Raw genomic sequence first — 22,015 nt, 5'->3', positions numbered from 1 at the left:
TAGAAAGTCAATTAAGATTCTGAATATGAAATAGTGGGAAACAGAATTTGAAAGAAGTGTGTAAAATCAAGTGGAGATACAAATATTGAGGGCAGAGGAGAAAGGAGAAACACAAGTTCTAATGTAATAAAAATTACTACAAGAAAGAATGTATGTTTTATTTTTTAAAAATTAAAGACATTTGAAAAAAGGAAAAGAAATTATTTTTAAATGCTGTAAGTATATAAAGAGTATTCTGTGCAAAGCATAACTTACTTTCTGTTGTAATGCATGAGTTCTTTTATGAAGAAATGAACTTAAATTTTGGTCAAGTAACTTGGTTAAATTATAAGTTAAATTGTTGATCAATGAAGATGATTATACATTGGAATAGATCATAAACAGACAACAACATCTCTCTCTGAAGATATTATAAAGATTAGTAGTCCATATGATTATAAGCTACAGCAGATCTCTAATCGAGGCAGTACAATGAAAAGTACAGTGAAACACAGCTGAGAAGATCTGAATTCTGGTCTGATTATGACATACATTAACTTTTTCATCAGTAACATAGACATATTCTGGGTATCTTTTTTCATATCTTATATGTTCTTTATAAGGGCCATCTTGTACATGAAGGTACATGTTGAATATAAAATACTATTCACCAATTGATAACTTATGATGATGAGATCTGTGACAACTAAAAAGCCTATCTATTACTATGACTTTAGGAAAATCTAGAATTCATTCTTCTTTTACTCATATGTTTTATTCCAGGGACTGAGAAAATAGCAGTGAGTAAACAGATAGGATATTTGATGCTCTCAAACTAACAACAGAAACACAAGTTTTTAATAAAAATACTTGGGTTTATACTGGAAATCAATGTTCCCAGATCTTATAACAAATATAAGTATAAAAGTTATACAAGGTCCTGCTAAATGATATTTTCTTGATTTTTTTGGTGATTTTGTAAAAAGTTCAGCAAAAGGATAATTCAGAAATGTCGAAGTTGCAGAAGTTTGCAATTTGTTGATGGTTATGTTCCAAAAGGTACAGTATGTATCCTGAATGTTATCCAGACAAAAATCACAAAAGAATTCATTAAAAATAAACAAAATCAAATAAAGTTGGTAATTTAATCAAGTTTTGTGGTTTGCTTTCCTAAAATTGACTCAAATATGTTAAAAGATAATCCCCTGTGAGAGGATTTCCTAGATTTGCATTCTATCCTGTAATGAAAAGAGGTAAGTATATTGTATACACAGACATAAACAAAACCTCTGCTTATACACAAATACATATGCTATATATACATGTTTTTAAAGAGAGGGATTTATTTAGGTGAAATATATTATAGTCTTTTGAAAAATGCCTTTAAAATTTTTCTTTCCCCATAATGAAATACAGTAGAAAAAAAGATAATTTTACAAGAGTGTTTCATTGTTGCCATCTTTATATTTGAATAGAAACAAAAAGTTAATCTTATGACAAGCCAGGCTTTGATAAGCAACTCTTTGCATTCTCACAGCACATGTAGCAATAGATAATAAGATTGCCACAATTCAGTTGAGTAAGCACATCAATTGACAGTGAGATCAATAACAGATATTAATAAGCTTTTCCCCAAATACACACCACACACAACCACACACATACACACAGAGCTATTCCACAAAGCTTTAAACTTAAGTCATTTGAGATCAATTCCCTAATAATCAACTACTTTGCAAAAGAGGAAGGGAAAACTATTGGCTTAAGTTGGTAACTTTGTGACAGTAGTCCAATGGCAGGTATATGTCACATTACACACACCAAGAAAGGAAACCTACTTGTTTCCTCAGGTGCCAAAGATGGAAAGATAAAGTTGCATATTGAATGTTCACGGTGATGTTAATAACATTTTAATATTATTAGACATAGACAATGTTTATATCATATTTTAATATTATTAAACATGTACAATGTTTATATCATAATATTTTAATGTTATTAAACATAGACAATGTTTACAACAGCAGACTTTAGGAAAAGTATTCAAACCTTGTTTACATTTGGGAAAGTGTCTCCAGCTACATATTCATAACAGGTCTTCAGGGGAAAAATATAAGACTGGTTTAGAAAAGCTCTATATACTCCAGAGATTTTCTTTGAAAAATCAGCAATTATTAAAATTATTATTTTATAATATTCACCTTCTCAAGCATGTTTCTATTATATATAATAAATTTACAGATCAAATTTAAATTCTCCAAACTAAGATTTTAAAATTTTTAAATTTTAAAAACTTCATTGAAAATAAAAAATGCACAGTTTGAAAGTGATATCTGAAATCTTCACCAAAAAACTTAAAGACATTATTGACCTTCACTGAAAAAATGAAGTAAATAACATATATGGCCATATTCAATAAATTGAGAATTTACCTCTTAATGATAGAGAAGAAACCGTTCAAAGCAGATGAAACCATTGAACCATTGCCAATAATTGTGAAATGATGCACACCTATAGAAAACAAGCAAACATTTTAACAGAAAAATTAAAAAGAAGTTACTCTTATTAAAGGCAAATGGTTTCCCATGGGGGAAAAGTGCTCACAGTAATTGATCAAAAGCTCTACTGGCCAAGAGAAAACTCAATAAAATAAGAAAAGAAAATACATATGACAGAAAAAAATTCAATGGGGTAGAGCTTAAATGTAATTCCTTGCTTAAAACAGGGCATAGGTCAAAAGTGGGAGAGGACCACCAAGTTATATTCTGGATTATCAGTCCACCAAGAAAGCAGTAGCATTAAGCTGTGATAGTTGAAGGACTGAGTGTCTGAATATATTGAAAACGTTACCTCAATGGAGCTAGAATCATAGGAAAATGGTTCCTCCATCGAGTTGCTATATTTTCCAACAATTTCTCCACAGAAGCCTTATGCAATTTATCCTACTGTGTCTAGCTTGGCATACTCTCCCTAGACCAGCAGAAACCAAAATTTACTGTCTTTTATTAACCCTTAGGATTGGGCATCTTCAAAAATTGAATCCAGTAGAAATGACCCAAAGGATGATCTCAACAACTTATGTACACCTAATTCAGGGCCAGTCTTTCTTCCTCTGCCTCTTACCCCGGTCAGAAGTCACATGAGAAAGAAGAGCTCCAGGGGGCAGTTCATAGGAAGAGAACTTTCTTTTCTACCTCTCCATTCTACACAAGATAATACGGGCATCCCAAAGAAGACTCATCATTGAGAGATACTCCTGGCCTAACATATTTTCCTTTAGCAAAGAGAAATGTCTTTATACCCAAGCACTGGGTATTCCCCCATCCCCCCACTCTGTAGAAGAATCCAGCCCTCCAATGAGCCTATTTTGGAAGATTCTGAACCACAGCAACATTTTATTGTTTCTTTTCTAAAGAAATTTTGTGTTTTTCTTTTAGTTTCATTACTATTAAGTGATTAGACCATTATTCAGATATAGCTTGATAGAATTCCAATTCAAATATTTTACAAATGCAGGATATTTAAATGTGAGCCTTAAGAGTAAATTGCTTCCATTTTAAATTTATTTTGTCTGTCTTTTGAAATAATCTTGGAAATTTTCCCTTTTAATTTTACTGCTGTTAGGTGAATACTCAATTTCTTATGCTGAAGCCTGATAGAATTATAATTTTTTTTTTTTGAGACAGAGTCTCAGTCTGTCACTCAGGCTGGAGTGCAGTGGCAAAATGTCAGCTCACTGCAACCTCCACCTCCTGAGTTCAAGTGACTTAGCTCCCCGAGTAGCTGGGATTACAGGCACATACCGCCACACCCAGGTAATTTTTGTATTTTTAGTAGAGATGGGGTTTCACCATGTTGGCCAGGCTGGTCTTGAACTCCTGACCTCAGGTGATCCACCTACCTCGACCTCCCAAAGTGCTGGGATTACAGGCGTGAGCCACTGCACCCGACAGAATTATAATTCTTAAAATATGATTTTATAAATATGGATTATTTAAATATGACATTAATACATTTACATTTTATTATATTTATAGCTAGTATAAATATAGCATTTTGATTTTAGTTTTTAATAAATCCCTATAAAATAAACTATAGTGACAATTTTACATGAACAGTTCAACAAATGATGATATTTGAAACTCAAAGGCCATGTCTATATAACCAAGGGCTACATTTAGTCCAATTACAAGATAAAATGAAGTAACTTGATATCTACCTGAATAAATGTTAATTCATTTTTAAAAACAAGTACTGATGGCTCCTACCTTTGCGTCTAATTCTTTGTTATGTCCTGTGAAGTATTTATACACACACACACACACACACACACATATATATATATGTAAAGGGAAGTATATGCTCTTAGGGAATTAACAATAAAAAGTAAGCATTTCAAATTTTCTAGTTAAAATAAAATTAAACTTTAAAATTTTACAAATCACTGTCTCCAAGAGCATATATTTAGGATCCATCTTCCCATATTGGAATGCCATCAAGTTTTCCTGACTAAACATCCCTTGTAGGCAGGGACAATGCTGCAGTACAGTATCTTGGAACACAGTAGCCCAGCAAACATTATAAATGCATTGATATTATGGTATTAACCTAACAAGCATTTAAAAAGCACTTACTTTGTGCAAAACTTAGTCCTAAGTACTGTTAAATAACTCATTTAACTTCATAACATTTTTGTGAGGTAAGTTGTATTACTACCCCTTATTTAAATATGGGAAAACCGAGTACTAGGGAGAATAAGTAAATGACCCAAGGACACATGGCTCTAAGACGGCTCAGCTAGGATTCAAGCCCAGATGACCTGGGTTTAAAGTCTACCCACTTAAACACTATACCATGTTGTTTGGATGAAGAAAAATAGCATCTAATGATTGAAGCTACTGTCAGCAATGATTATTGTGTCATTGTCATTAAAATTCTTACATGCCCCAGTCTGAATTCTTTTTTGATCCAGGTAATTTCTTTTACTCTCTGAGACTCTAGTTTTTGCCCAATTGTTTGCACATTTGACATGTAAGTTTTCTAACAATTCTCTGTTTATCATTTGAAAAGGAATGATATGACATGTTCCCTCTGATGTGCATAGGTTCATTTATGGAGTGTCCTTCTACTTGGAAGAAACATCCTTTTTCTGCCACACTCTTTAGAGGTGTGATCAAATGGTTGACCTTTCTAGTAAAATCATTCCTCAGAGATACTTTCTGACTTTCCAAAAATCAACTAAATATCTCAAGGTAAGACAGAGTCTCTGAGAAGGAGAGAAATTATCTAAAAGAAAAAGAATACATAACATTCTAAAACAACAATAGCATATAATAAGTCTAAGAAAACTTGGCACTTTCCATACCATAAAATGCCAAGGTTACCACTGATAAATTACCAAATGCTTTTATCTGTCAATGGGATAAAACTGCCTACTTGGAACTGAGCCGAAGACCCAGGCCCTCTACAGAAAGAAACCACCCAACATTCAAATGTGTAAGTTATCCTTAACTAGCATTTGGGTCATGGTTCACAGGACAAGGGCTCCTGCCTTCCCCTTTGATACTGGTGTTCCCACTTATCTTGAGTTTAGGCAAATGACTTGCTGGTGTGTAAATCCACATCGCTTTGGAAACTATTATATAATTCTGTCAGTTCTTAAAGATAGACTTCAAGGTGACCAGGAATACCACAGCCTGTGGGTCAGAGATTCTGTTCCTAGGGAGAATTTGAAAGCAAACAGAAGAAGGTTTTCTCATCTGCTTTTCAATATCATTTGGGTACCAAAGTTGAATCAATAATTGGTCTCTTTGGAAGATGTAGTTGAATGAGCTCCTAGTCCCAGAAAAAAAAAAAAAGTGTAGTAAGAGCCATATAAAGCCATGTAACATAATGATTCCACTAATGATTTTAAAACAGTAATAACTGTATGGAACAAAAAAAAATTATACTTGCTGAATTTTGTTTAAGAATAAGACCAAGTAGAACAAAGCCAGAAGTCACAGAATCAGAAAGTTTAACTGCTATAATAATATCACCACTCCTGAAATTACAATGAACACATTTACTCCAGAAACCAAAAAGAAAAATAAAATGTAGATTCCAAAGACATTTTTCAGTGAGACAATGAAGAAGGTGAAAAACAAAAGTTGTTTTTCTTGTTTTCTTCCTGTTTATTAAGAAGAAAAGCCCTTCTAATTAAAAAAAAAAAAAGCTGGGGATCATGTTAGATTCTCTAGACTAAAGAAGGCAAATCTTTAGATAAATAAATAAATAACTTCTAAGGGAAAGGATAAGAGTAACTAATAAATATTGGAATGGGTAACGTTTGGCTAGTAAATACTACCCTAGATGTTCCAGCGCAAAACTTACAGATTAATGAGCTAGTCACTTTGATAGCATTAAAGAAATAAAATGTATATGCATATCTGAAGTTGGAGGCAATATATGTACAGAAGAAAACACATGAATTTTGAAGCTAGAAGGACCTTTATTTAAATCTAACTTCTGCCTATGACATTTACAATTAACAAAGTAATAATACTTTGGAATTTTTAAAATTCTTAACTCAAATGATATTTTCAAATTCCGTATGGAACACTGGCATAATAGTGGTATGGATAAGTTTTATGATGGTTTCGAGAAAAGGTCCCTTCTGATTGAATTCCTAGTTACGTTTGTATAAAATCAGATAATGTTTTAAGTGAACAGTGCTTTAACAAAGTGTTGTTGCCCAAAAGCCATTTGATTCATTGACAAAACTTCTAACATTTATGACATTCATGTACAGCATTCAAAAGCATTCCAATGGAACCTCTCTCATCATCCATCAGTTACTTTGAAAACAGGCAGAGCCCTTTAGTGAGACATCTGGCTAGACCCCTGATCACCTTTGATCTCGTTATCTGGGACTCATCCACTGCAGCAATCACAGCCCTCCATGGCTTTCTAAGTTAATGCCTTAGTATGTTTCAAACAATCCAAATTTTGTATATCTTCAAATATGTTGTTAATTTAATGCTTTTATTATGTTGGGGCAGTGGGAAGAAGGGACAGGTTAGGTGGTACAGGTAAGTTACATCCTTTTTCTCTCCAGTTTATACTCACAGAACATCTAGAAAGTTCATTTTACTCCTTTACATATAAGACAGAATCAGTGTGTTAAAGTGGGATTTAGGAGTGAGATGAAGCAACATTTACTGGGCGTCTATGATATGCCAGGCACAGTAATTCTGTAAATTTAAATATTATATATTAAGTATCATATATAGTATGTAAAGATATGTCTGGGTATATATTCGTACGTATACATTCTGTCTTTGTGTGTGTAATTTAATTTAATAAAGATATAATTCCAATCTGCCTTCAAAGCTCAACCTTACTGTTTAGTTACCATGTGGTTTGGGGCAAATTATTTAATTACTCTGACTTTCAATTTATTCTATTAAATGAATATACCTACTTAACAAGATTGTTCTGAGAAGTGAATGGAATAAAACATTAAAAAGTATTTAACATACTTCTCAGAACACAATAGGCACTCAATAAAATCATGTCTATTATGCAAATACTTACCATTTAATATGTGCCCGGCACTGTTTTAAGTGCTTTTTAAATATTGACTTTTAAAATGTTCATTACAATCTTTAGGTCACCTACTATTATTATCCGTCCTTTACTGATAAACTGAGTACTTGAGAGGTTAAATGACTTGCCTGGGGTCACACAATTAGTGGAGACAGAATTAAAATTAAAACCCAACCATTTTCATCCCAGAGTCTCTGCACCTAATCTAACCATTATGTTCTACTGTCAGAGTTGACCCTGAACTCTCTAGAGAAAAAAAAAAAAAAAGTTTTCCTTTAGGAAATTTAAAACAAAATAGTATTTATCCAGTTAAATAAATTATCAGGGTAACTGCAAATCACATTAGTGTTATACAGACATATTCCAAATAACCAACTGCTCACTCACAAAGAAGATAAACAATACATAGGAAATGACTGGTACACTCAATTAGGATAATTCAAAGAGGATTTAATTGAAAGAACTATTTTTAAAAGTATGAGCTGGCCATAGAGAAGAGCGCAATTTCTCAGGCTACCAGTATTGAGGCTGTGTCCATCAAAAAGGACAAAGGGAGTGGGTGTTACTGGAACCCAGAAAGAGCAAGTCATGTGGGGAGAGGCAACCAACCCAAAGCGAATGGGCAGGGAAGGAGGCAGGGCATTTAGACCCTGACTTCATAGTTGCCCCCCTGGGGATCTCCTACCAGGCCCCTTACTAGCAGCTAGAAATCAAGGAAGCCGGCCAATGTCATCCATACAGGCCAGCCTGCTGGGGCCAGGACCAAGAGGGGAAGGCTGTCAGAGGCATTTTTCCAGATTTATAAAATGTTAACATTTTAAGTACCAAAACACAATTTTTTCTTTGTCTTATTGGATATCTTTTTTAAATTTCTGTCATACTCTTGGCTTCTAACATAAATTACACAGTCCGTTCATTTTTTCTGAACTAGCTCTAAAATAGTAGAACCCTCAAGCACATCAAAGATGTACAACTGCTGGCCCTGCACCAGCATTCAGAAGTGTGCTTTTGTCTTTCTCAAAATACAGCTTCCAAGCACATTTTCAGGTGTTATATGAAAAAGATTTTCTGATCAAAAGGACAACATGGGACAAAAACAAACTGAACAGATTTCTCAATTGAGGGATAGTTTCAGAGCTAGTTGCATGGCAAAAATGACAGATTGGAATACAACATGAAATGTATACATAACTAACTAGACCACACAATTCTTCATTTTTTTCCTAAAAACATATTGGGGCCTACTGTTGCAAGGAATATTCTTTGAGAAATGATTTTCTTCATGCCAGAAGGCCTCAGCATTCTGCAGTGTTTTCTAACACGCATTCATTTGTTCATCTTGTCAACAAAGACGTGTTCTCCTGAGTGCTGGGTGTTCAGTGGCGCACAGGTCGGATGAGGTCCCCACTGTCGTGGATGTGCTCTGATGTTGTGCTTTGTTTTGTTGGTGGAATCTCTGTCTTTCACCCTCACTGTCACTACCACTTGTTCCTGTTGCCACCCTCCTTGAGTGCTTACTTCTAGCAACATCTTTGTCCCCAATCCTCTAACTTGACATTTTGTAACCTTGCCTGTGTTTGGATAATCAGAAAATTAAGCCTATAGGAGTGATGGGATAAGAGGCTGTTCTTTTTATATAAAACATGAACCATTTTATGTGAATGCATACAGCTGTCAGGGCCTTTCTTGCATTCTTTCTCATCAGAGGCTTCTAATAAATAGTTAAAATTTCCAAGAAGGCAGCTTCTAGTTAAATAAGATGGTAGAGCAGAGTGGTCAAACACAGAATATTTGCCTTCTAACAGGCAGGCCTGCCTTCCAGGCCAAATCCTGCCCCCTCCTTCTGTTTAACCCATGCAAGTTCCAGTTTCCTCACCTGTAGAATGGTGGTAGTAATCATGCCCACTCACTGGGATTATTACAGGGATTAAATAAGACAATGTACTCAGAGCTCACAGGAGCCACTAACATCAACTATCATTTTTACAGAGCCTAGCACATAGTAGACATTCAACATATAGTTAGAAATAGGAGTTACGGGCCAAATGATGTGAACAGCTTTCTTAATTTCTTTCTTTTTAAAAAATATATTTTTCTTGTTTCCAGTGGGGTTGGAAGCTTTCTCAATTTCTTGAACCAAGATATTATAGGCAATTTTATTATGTTCTTGGAAGCACAGATAAAGCTTGGGCCCAAGTATGCTTACAGAGCTTTCTAAAATGCAGAACTGATGAGATTCCTAAAGATCAGGTATGATGGTGAAGTAGGTGCGGTGACTCAGGCACCACACATTTAGAGGACAATAAAGCAACACTGTGGCCCCATGCAAGTGATGAGAGAAGTCCCTGGAATATTCACCTTCAGTGTTGGGTTTTCCTTTCTTTCTTGCACCTCATGGCTGTTTGCTGAATACGCAGTGGTATTTCCATTTCCTACAGGAGCTTCGGGTCTTTCAAGATGTCAAAGAAGAAGTTTTACAAACTAAGCTTTTACAGGGAAAGTCCCTGCGGTGAACAGAGCATGAGTTGTATGCCATAATAAAGGCAGGTGAGAAAATGGAGATAAAGGCAGATACCCTGACACTTGAATCTCGTGAGGTGGACAGAACAGGTGAGGCCTGGCCTTGGAGGGCAGGGGTCCAGGAAAGGCAGGATGAGATCTGCAAGGAGAGGAGAGATCTCTTGTAATGTGCCAGGAGAGCCCCTGAGATGGCTAGCCAAAGGCCCTGTAGAACAAAGCCCTAGGCTACTGTTGACATGCACAGCTCCTCATCTACAGAAGGGAGCAGCCTCTGAAGCCCATCTGTGGATTATTCAGCAAAAGGAGCCAGCCTGTAGTGTCAATTGTGCAAGGCCCCATGGGAATTGACCCCTGGATTACAGGTTCCCTGCCAATCACCCAAAAAGAGGTGGTTCTTGTTAGCCCCACATCCCTCAGAATGATAGTGCTGGTACGGAAGGAAGTATTTCAGTCACTAATTGAGTCGGGACGATTGATGAATATATCACTCATTTTGGGCAAACCCTTCAAATTTAGAAACATTACTGCTGAAAGACAATGACTTTAGTTTTTTAAAATAATAGTAATAATGTGAAATAGAAAAGGCAATAAAGGTCAAAAAGCGCATAAATAAGAAAAATGTAATATTAATCATAAACTATGAGCTAGAAGCTTGTAGACTCCAACCAGCAAACTTACAAAGTAGGGATTTGTCAGCATTTTACACATGGCAAATGACAACTCAGAAAAATTAAGTGTCTTGCCCAAGGGTAGCAAGTCAGTTAACAGCGGTCATGAAAACAGCCAAATACTGAGTACTTTATGCCAAGTAATTTTAAGTAATTCTATCTATAATTAGTTATGATACCAAGTATATAATACAGATAATTACCAATTTTACATATATTCTCTCATGTATAACTCATGCCGTTCCTAGAAGGAAGGACTATTATTATTATTCCCACTGCACAGATGGGAAAACCAAGGTAGGAAATACTAAGTGACTTCCTCAAGGTCATATTTAATTAGTAGTAAACCAAGGCTGTTTGACTTGGAACCTGTGTCCTTGGCCGCATCCTTTCCATCCTCTGTTTTGTAAAGAAATTTCTTGATCATCAGAAATCACACTGAAATGGGAGAGTTCTCTGACCCCCATCACAGGACATGTGACGGGTGTGGCTCATCTGTTCGGTCACTGCCACTGCTCAAACCCCTTACTGGAGGGGGAGCACACAGATGGACAGATGCAGGAACCCAAGTGGGCGTGTGTTACAATGCACTCTTTTAGCCTGTAGACCCAAATCTCATCTTGAATTGTAGCTCCCATAATTCCCACGTGTTGTGGCAGGGACCCAGTGGGAGATAATTGAATCATGGGGGCAGGTCTTTCCCACGCTATTTTCATAATAGTGAATAAGTCTCAGAAGATATGATGGTTTTATAAAGGGTAGTTTTCCTGCCCAAGCTCTCTTCTCTTGTCTGCCGCCATGTGAGACATGCCTTTCACCTTCTGCCATGATTGTGAGGCCTTCCCAGCCATGTGGAACGATGAGTCCATTAAACCTCTTTCTTTTGTAAATTGCCCAGTCTCAGGTATGTCTTTATCAGCAGTGTGAGAACAGACTAATACAAGTGTTAACCAGCTCAATGGACCTTTTTGCAAGGGCAGAGGGCCAGTGTGACAGCTTTCTGTATCCTGAGCTCTTGTCCAGCATTCCGAAAGAATGGGGTCACACATGGACTTGAAGGATGGTGAATGTGGGGGTTTTATTGAGTGGTGGAGGTGGCTCTCAGTGGGATGGATGGAGAGCTGGAAGAGGGATGGAGTGGGAAAATAATCTTCCCCTAGGGTTTGGCCACCCAGCAGTCAATCTCCTCACCGACTGTCCCCAGCTGAATTCTTCTTGGCGTTCAGTTGCTCCTTCTCTTCTCTCTACCACACCACTCTGCTGTCATTCTGCTCTTCTGTTTGTCTCTTCATCTCTCTCTGGGGCTGGGGGTTTGGGGTTTATATGGATCTAGGATAGGGGGGCATGGTGGGCCAAAATGCAACTTTTGGGTGCTAAAACAGAAATGCCCATTCCCATTTAAGGCCGTGAGTATCCAGGCTTGAGGGTGGGACCTTTGCCAGGGAATCACCCTCTTCTACCCAATATTTCCCTGTCTCCTGTCTGTATCAACCCCTAGGTAGCTTCTGTACTGTAGGAACACCAGAAATGTACTTTCTAATTAGCCAAAAGTAAAGGATTCTTTTATATCGTATCTGCTTAGTTACATTTGTAAGTCAATAAATATATTGTCTGACAAAATGTATCAATGTATAATAATGTATAATGTATAATAATGCTAGGCAGGTAGACAGTCTTCAAATATTCTTGTGGACTGGGTAGAAGCACAAACTAAAGTTACCTGAAGTATCCAAATCATATTTTTAAGTGGCACTATTAATTTAATTTTAGGTAATGACTATTCCTATAATTATCTGTGAAATCTCTAAAAATTCCAGGAAAACAATTCTTACTACCCCTACAAAACTTATTATATTAGCTAGTAGCTAAGTGTGTGTGTCTGTGTGTGTTTGTGTGATTTCTAGCCTAAATATTTCCTTGAACTTGATATTCCTTTCATGTTGCTTTTGGTGAAACAAATGAAAAAAAGTCATTTTTCTCTCTAAAAACTGTCTATATATTTGAACATAGTTGTTAATCATTTTACAGCCTTTCTGCTGGGAGGCAAGCACATGTTTAGAGATGCACTGTAGTTCTAGCAAGGTTAATGGTAACAGCTTTAAGAAAAAAATATATAGTAAGAAAAATAAAGAATGATCATAAAAAGATATTTAATTCTGAGATGGATTCTATCTTAATACATTATTTTTAAAATAATAAACTACTAACTCTTTGTGACTCAGTGTATTTATCTATCTGTAAAATGGGGATAAAATGCTGATTCCATGATCTGTGCATAATATTTTAAATAAAAATGTAATAGAGAGGTTATCTTGCCCTCCAGTACATATGGTTAGGTTCAGAACCAGAAATATTTAACCAGGGTGCAGGGTGACTTTTCTCTTTTTCCAACAGGAACATCTTTTGTCTTGCTGTCCACCTTCCATGGACAGCCAACCCTTCTTCTTCCCCTACTTATTACTGTGGTGGCCCCAACTCCTTTCTTCTCTAGATAAGCCCTAATCTTTGTGCCCCTGCCCCTGGATGACTGGGCCATGATCTTCCCACCTGGTGTTACCAGCAAGCTCCATATCAACCCTGACTTCCCAGGCTGACTTCATGCACTTACTGAAGTTTCCAGTGCCTGTTTCTGCCCAGCTCCTCTCCCATTGTTTCAAGTAGTGAGTAGGTTCACAGTCACATTACAACAGCAAAAGCTCTGGTGGCCATGTGAGTCAGCTCAGTAACTAAATAAGATATACACATATCAGAGTAACATTTTATACCACAGAACATGTGTTAATGGGCAGCATGCTAATTAGTCATCAAAAGTAAACTATTTGTATATTGTTCTTCCATGATTTTGAACAATTAATCACAAGCATTGAACTGGTAAATGGGACCTGGGAGGCTGATATGGTTTGGCTCTGTGTCCCCACCCAAATATCATTTTGAATTATACTCCCATAATTCCCACATGTTATGGGAGGGACCCGGTGGCAGATAGTTGAATCGTGGGTGTGGTTTCCCCCATACTGTTCTTGTGGTAGTATGATGACGAGATCTGACAGTTTTATCAGGAGTTTCTGCTTTTGCATCTTCCTCATTCTCTCTTTGCCTGCTGCCATGCATGTAAGATGGAACTTGCTCCTCCTAGCCTTCCACCAAGATTGTGAGGCTTCTCCAGCCAAATGGCAAGTTCAAGTTAACCTCTTTCTTATGTAAATTGCCCGGTCCCCGGTATGTCTTTATCAGCAGCATAAAAATGGATTATTCCAGTAAATTGGTACCTATAGAGTGGGGCATTGCTGAAAAGATACCCAAAAATGTGGAAGCAACTTTGGAACTGGGTAACAGGCAGAGGTTGGAAGAGTCTGGAGGGCTCAGAAGAAGAGAGAAAAATGTGGGAAAGTTTGGAACTTCCTAGAAACTTGTTGAATGGCTTTGACCAAAAGCCTGACAGCAATATGGACAATAAGGTCCAGGCTGAGGTGGTCTCAGAAGATGGGGAACTTGTTGGGAACTGGAGCAAAGGTGACTTATGTTTTAGCAAAGAGACTGGCAGCATTTTGCCCCTGCCCTAGAGATTTTTGGAACTTTGAACTTGAGATAGATGATTTAGGGTATCTCATGGAAGAAAGTTCTAAGCAGCAAAGCATTCAAGACGTGACTTTGATGCTGCTAAAGGCATTCAGTTTTAAAAGGGAAAGAGAGCATAAAAGTTTGGAAAATTTGCAGCCTGACAATCTCAGAGAAATGAAAATCCCATTTTCTGAGGAGAAATTCAACCCTGCTGCAGAAATTTACATAAGTGACAAGGAGCTGAATGTTAATCCCCAAGACAATGGGGAAAATGTCCCCAGGGCATGTCAGAGGTCTTCACAGCAGCCCCTCCCATCACAGGCCTGGAGGCCTATGAAGAAAAAGTGGTTTTGTGGGCTGGGCCCAGGGTCCCCATGATGTGTGCAACCTAGGGACTTGGTGTCCTGCATCCCAGCCACTCCAGCCATGGCTGAAAGGGGCCAGTGTAGAGCCTCTGGGCTGTGGCTTCAGAGGGTACAATCCCCTAGCCTTGGCAGCTTCCACATGATGCTGAGTCTGTGGGTGCACAGAAGTCAAGAATTAGGATTTGGGAACCTCTGCTTAGATTTCAGAAGATATATAGGAATGCCTGGATGCCCAGGCAGAAGTTTGCTGCAGAGGCAGGGTCCTCATGGAGAATCTCTGCTAGGGCAGTGTGGAAGGAAAATGGGGGTTGGAGCCCCCACACAGAGTCCCTCCTGGGGCACCACCTAGTGGAGGTGTGAGAAGAGGGCCACCGTCCTCCAGACCCACAACTGATAGCTTGCACCATACACCTGGAAAAGCCGCAGACACTCAATGCCAGCCCATGATGGCAGCCAAAAGGGAGGCTGTACCCTGCAGAGCCACAGGGGCAGAGCTGTCCAAGACCATGGGAACCCACCTCTTGCATCAGTGTGGCCTGGATATGAGACATGGAGTCAAAGGAGATCATTTTGGAGCTTTAAGATTTCATTGCCCCACTGGATTTGGGACTTGTATGGGCCCTGTAGCCCCTTTGTTTTGGTCAATGTCTCCCATTTGGATTGGCTGTATTTACCTAGTGTCTGTACCTCCATTGTATCTAGGAAATAACTAGCTTGCTTTTGATTTTACAGGCTTCTAGGAGGAAGAGACTTGCCTTGTCTCAGATGAGATTTTGGACTGTGCACTTTTGAGTTAACACCGAAATGAGTTGAGACTTTGGGGGATGTTGGGACGGCAAGATAGGTTTTGAAATGTGAGGACATGAGATTTGGCAGGGGCCGTGGGTGAAATAATATGATTTGGCTCTGTGTCCCCACCCAAATCTCATTTTGAATTGTACTCCCATACCTCCCACGTGTTGTGGGAGGGACCCAGTGGAAGATAATTGAATTGTGGGTGCAGTTTCCCCTCTACTGTTCTCATGGTAGTGAATAAGTCTCACGAGATCTAATGGTTTTATCATTAAAACCATTTGCGTCTTCCTCATTCTCTCTTTGCCTGCTGCCATCCATGTAAGATGGGACTTGTTCTTCCTTGCCTTCTACCATGATTGTGAGGCCTCCCCAGCCATGTGCAGTTAAGTCCAATTAAACCTCTTTCTTTTGTAAATTGCCCAGTCTTGGGTATGTCTTTACCAAGAGCATGAAAATGGACTAATACAGGGGCATAACTAAGAGAACGCATTTTTCCTACCATTTATTGTGTTCCAACAATGTGTGAAGCACAGTAAGTACTTTTATACACAATATCTTATTTAAACATCTTTGCAAGTCGTAAGTTAGCTATTCTTTTTATTTATTTTTATTTTTTCGAGAAAGGGTCTTGCTCTGTCACCCAGGCTGGAGTGCAGTGGCACAATCTCGGCTAACTGCAACCTCTGCCTCCCGGGTTCAAGTGATTCTCCTGCCTTAGTCTCCCAGGTAGTTGGGACTACAGCCACCCACCACCACACCTGGCTAATTTCTGTATTTTCAGTAGAGACAGGATTTTGCCAAGTTGGCCAGGTTGTTCTCGAACTCCTGACCTCAGGTGATCTGCCCACCTCGGCCTCCCGAAGTGCTGGGATTACAGGTGTCAGCCACCATGCCCAGCCTAGCTATTCTTATTATTCTTTTTCAGATGAAGAAATTGAGGTTCAGAGAAGTTAAGAAAATTACCTAATGTGGTAAATGATAGAGCTAGTAGTCCAAACCCTATCTATCAATACCCAAAGCTTAAGCTATTCAATATCATGCCACAAAGCGACAAACTGTATTAGCATATTTTAGGTGGTTGTAGATATTCTTGATCCCTGCAAAGGCTTCAAGAAATCTATAAGGGTTCTTACTCAAAATTCAGGTCCATACAGCCAGTGGCATCTAGCCTTTTGTGGCTGTTTATTATAAGAAGGTGTACTAGTGGTAGGAAACAACCACATCTGTGAAAGGCTCAAAATAGTGACTCCAATCCCAGAAAATATATTTTCCTACAAGAAACAAGAAAGTGTTTTCACGAAAAATAAATTGTAATAGAAATTAAAGTTTCTGGATAATGTAAACTTTTTTGTTTTTTTTAATTAAGCATGTCATATAATGTAAATGCTTTATGTTGATTGAAATAAATGCCAAAGGTAATCATAATTATTTTCTTTTTCTAAGATCCAAAAAATAATTTAACCTTTATACCAGATGAATCAAAGTTATGTAAGACTTTTAGAAATGTTTTTATGTCATTTCCTGTTGATCTCATGATCAAATTACCACCACACAAATTTTTCATATCTATAATTCTAAAAAGCCAGATTTCCAAGAAAATCCTGAAATTCCCAGAAAATAATACTTGAAACTCTAAGTATTTCCCTTCAAATGACAACAGATAAGTGATAACTTTTTTGGCATTAGCACCTTCAGCATTTAACCTCTGATAAGCCTGAACACAGACAAATATTACAGAGATCTTCATTCAACACATAGCAGTAAAAATTTCACTAAATCCTGCCTTGGGATATGAATGTCTTTTTACTGAGCCATTGAAATCTGTATATATTTTCTTTGAGAAATAGATTTTTGTGACCATGGAAATGTTTTCTTCTATGAATCACTGAAAAACATGATATATGTTCCTCCAAATTAATGAATTATCCATAATTATATAACAACTTTAGGTCATTTATAGTATTTAAAATGTCTGCCTATTACACTGATAGTGTCACATCCCTGAATAAAACAAGGTCTTATTTTTCTTTTTGTCATTTCTTTTCTTTGCAGACCCCAAATATTTTATTTATTTCTCATTGACTACCCACTGTATTACTGTATCCCACATTAATTTCGTCCCATCGTTTTCCGGATGTATCTACTGAGTAGAAAGTCCAGAAATTTTGAAGGAAGCAAAGAAAAAATAGCAGCAGTTTGTAAAGATTCTAGATCGATTTCATCAGTGACATTCTGTCAAATGGAATTCTTATACCTCTCACTATAACTCAGTAAGGACTGGCTCCTGGAGACATGAACAGTTTTAGATACTCTGACATTTAATGTCAACCAATGTATTGAGGACAGCCATTGTAACCATAAAATTGTATTTTTACCCTTAGAAACAATGTTTCATCATTATAGGCTGTCACTATTATTCGCTAGTACAATTAAGGTATTTTTCTTTCTGAGTCTTTGTATGACCTAAAATCACATAATCATGACTTATACTAAACAGGACTGAACTGTCTTAAGTAGATATTTATGTCTGGTTTATAAGTCTGCGTGTCTATGAAACAGGAAGATACTTTTAACTGTTAAAATCTCCCTGCAACATGACTTAAATGTTCTCATATATTTCCTCTATTACTAGCTTTATTATTTGCTAATTGTTAATTCATCTATAAGTGTTGCTTTAAATTAACATAAAATTTTCTATATACACACATGTAGATAGGCCCACCTGTAATAAATTATAAACCCACCTTTTAATATGGTGTGTTTATTCCTGCTTTTTTCTGGATAAATTTAATCCTTCCTCATTCTAAATCGATGTTTTCCAATTTTGATCTATGACTCAGTCCACTTCAAATAAATCTGAGAAATAAAACATATCTATACTCCTTTTGAAAAACTAATGTACATTGTATATGGAAGGCCCTGATGACTCTCCAATAAAAGAAATTTTTTAAAAAATGTGGAATCCTTAACTTCCCACTGAACACTTTCATAGTATAACATGATATCCAGGAAAGTAACAATGCTTGGAGCACTTTTGAGGGCATGGGCTTGATACAAGAGTGGAAGATCATATATAATTTCTGTCACAGAGGAGGCATATCTATTTCTTCTAGAAAATAAATTGAATCACTAATCATCATTTCGCTATGTTCTAAAATTCCTGAAAATGTAACAGAGAGAGTCAGTCTGGTTACATTACATTGATTATATCATTTCGTTGAATCTAGAAACTACACAAATAATTATGATCAGGCCTAGAAATTGCTAAATATATATTTTATTTTATTGACAGACATGTATATATTCTTCTGTCACAGACCATATGCATTTAGAGATATATTTTGTTCATATATATTCTCTTCATAACCCAAAAAACTAGAATAACACTATTAAATCTTCTTATTATGAATGAAGACAGACATTGTGCTTTCCAAAGCAGCTACGGCCTCAGAAATATTCAACTTACACAGTAATTGGCACCTAAAAGCATTCATATATCAACCAAAATAATGAGGCAGTATGGGTTAAGGGTCTGAGTTCTAGATTCAGATCCTAGCTCTACCACCTTAATAGCTGTGTGATCTTGAAAAAAATTACCAATTTCTCTGAGTTTCATTAGGGAAATAACAACAGAACTTTTTTGTCATGGAGCAGTTTTCAGTAATAAATAAGATAATAAATGTGCAGCATGCAGCACAATAGTTGACATTATGAGCACCTGATAAGTCTTATATATTAATATTATCTAAATGGTCTGTTTCCACCTACAGAACACTCAGGGAAAATAAATTATTTTTCCTCCCCAAATACTTTCTATCATACAATTATGAAACCCAAAACAGCATGATGTCAAAATTATCAACATTTATAGGACTTTTAAGGAAACAAAAATGCATCTAAATTTCCATTGATTTGGTACAAATTAAATTTTATATTTAAAAACATGAAGATAAGAGAATATGCAAGCTTCTAAAAAGAAGCAATGCATGTCTATATCGGTACTCTTAAAAGTGCTTTAGGTTTATAAATCAAGATTGAATTCATGAGGCTAAACACATCAATCCTGAAAAATCCCTAATTTCTTAAGTGCTGTATCAGTCAGTTTTGCTGCATAACAGTTAATCCAAAATCTCAGTGGCCTAAGAAATAAACATTCAATTTTTTCTGATTTTACACATCACTGGCTAAGAGTTAGCTTCCTGGCTCTGGTTGTCTCTGCTCTATGTGTCTCCCCATTCCTGCTCCCAGGCTAAAGAAGCAGCCCTTTCTAAGACATTCTCATAAATACTTGAAAAGAAGAAAAGCAAGAGGCCTAGTTTAAACAAGACATTGCATTTAAAGCTTTTGTTTATATGTGGCATACATTACATTTCACTGGACAAAGTAAGCCACGTGGCCAAGGCCAAATTATGCAATCAGCAGTGATAATGTAATTCTCCTGCTTAGAAGGAGGAAGTGAGTTAATTGTAAATACAATCCACCTCGGTTGCCTTTGTTGGTCACAGATACTCACTTTGTTCACTGTACACACAAAATTTACTTACAGCCACATGGAAGACATCCTAAAAGTTTCAACAAATCCAAACATCAGCCTTGAAAGTTCATGATCTTATTGCCATCAGATCCAAATAGCAAATCTTGATCTGGACACATGAACTAAGTAAACAAATTATCTTCTTCATAAGCACCCAACATAAAATGGTAGAGAAGAGGCAGAATAAACACATAAACATTCCGATTTGAATGTGAAATTAAAAAAAAAAAGGAAAACAGAAAACTCATAGTAGGTAGCAGTTCTGAAATCCCACTGGGCAAACGTGCTGGCCTTGGGGATAGAGGAAACTACTTTGATTAAGAGTCTTTGATTAGGGGTCTGCAACTTGAATTAACTTTCCAGAGAATATTCTCCAGGGTTACAGGCACCAGCCTCTTTCTTCCTTGTTCTTTGCCCTCCGTTGCCAAATCTAAAAAAAGTTATAAAATATTCCTTTCTTGGGCTGAGCAGCTTTTTTGACTATCTTATCCTCAGAAAGTTGAGTGTAGGCAAGACTTTTTAAGCTATAAAAAGCCACACACTCTTCTATTTTTGGCAATACTCCTGGCATTAAAACTTTTTAAAATTTTAACTTTTCTCTTTTTTAATGTCCATTTGATCTGTTCTCCTCTATATACTAATAGACTCACTCTCTATTCTTTTACAAATCTGTCTCTCTCTCTCTCTAAACTTGATTACAGGTATTTGAGCTTATCAGACTTCATGAGATTATTCCTTTGATTTTCTTTTCCCACCCAAGCCATTTTGTCCAACTGGAACGATTTACTGAGAAACGGCTTAATCCAATCAGGTTTTGTGCACAGGCTATTAACTTGGTCTTTGTCCCTAAAATGAGTCTTATTCTGAGTCTTAATTAGCCTTTGCAGCTCAAAATATTTATCATTTCACCAGTTAGAGATGAGAAACAGTTTGGTTTTGCAGCCCTGCAAATCCTGGAGTTTCTCAGCTCTTTAGTCTTCTTTTCATCTCCTGTGTTAAACAACTCACTTATTTTTGTACTCATTCTTTTTCTTGTATTATCAAATGCAGTTTCTAACAACTAATTCACATTAGTAACATTTCAAATCCTCTTTACTGGAAGCCTTCAGTACATGATACATGTGTTGCCCAAAATATTTTGCTGCTGCATAAAATGTGTCACCCATTTTCTAGCCTTTAATAAGTTTTCTCACTGCTAGCTGTCTCTGGCCCCCAAAATCGATGCCATATATTTTAAGTTTTTTATTATGATAACACTCCACTTCTAAGTATCAAATTCTATACTGTTCAGCCTTCTACATAACAATCTTGAAATCCCAAGGGCTTACAAAAACAGGCATTTTGTTCTTGTTTGTGTTTTGTGTTTCATCTAGGCAGTTATTAGATGTATGCAGCTACGGGGGCTCTGCTTAACTCAGCTCTATAGGTTTTTTTACTCACGTAAGCTGAAGTGTGGAGCACACCCATTTATGGAGCTGAGAAGAAAACCAAGATGCTAAGCTAACCCTTAGAATTTCATTTAAAGCCTCTTATTGCAGGTAGCATAGTTATAGCTGTTCACATTGCAATGGCCAGAGAAATTACATGGTTAAATTCAAAAAGGAGGGGAAACATACACCTTCCACAACAGGAAGCAGGGAACTGCTGTGGCAATAAGCTGGGAGAGATAAACTGTATATAAGAAAAGGGCATCATGTATAATTGCGAACAGTAACACCACCTGCCAAAAGTGCAGTTTAACAATGTTTTCGAATGCTCTATGATGCAAACATCCCCCATAAAAAATAGTAAAAATAAGACTGTACACTCATAACACTTTCCCAGAAAAGCAAATGATTTATTCACCTTCAAAAATAAACTATAATTTCAAAAATGGCATTGGGTCTTGTCTTAAATTTCTATCATTAGTTGGCATCATTTTAGAAGCTATTTCTCTGCATAAGAAAACCTATTCTATCTTAATCAGACCAGCTCAGAGCAGCTGTGACTATAATTACCCTTATTTG

The 22,015-nt window shown here is 36.8% G+C and overlaps 1 long non-coding RNA gene across 1 annotated transcript in view; it reads right to left on the bottom strand.

Annotated features, from left to right (window-relative positions):
* The window catches only part of MAD2L1-DT (MAD2L1 divergent transcript), a 100,247-nt gene that overhangs the window by 14,172 nt on the left and 64,060 nt on the right, over window positions 1-22,015 (bottom strand). Inside the window, exon 3 of the long non-coding RNA NR_187429.1 lies at window positions 2,412-2,490. This is a non-coding gene — a long non-coding RNA (MAD2L1 divergent transcript). The remainder of the gene's footprint in view (window positions 1-2,411; window positions 2,491-22,015) is intronic.

The sequence above is a fragment of the Homo sapiens genome, chromosome 4, assembly GCF_000001405.40.
Source record: "Homo sapiens chromosome 4, GRCh38.p14 Primary Assembly".
Taxonomy (NCBI): domain Eukaryota; kingdom Metazoa; phylum Chordata; class Mammalia; order Primates; family Hominidae; genus Homo; species Homo sapiens.
The sequence above is the reverse complement of the archived record's forward strand: the minus strand, read 5'-3'. Positions and strand labels throughout refer to the sequence as shown.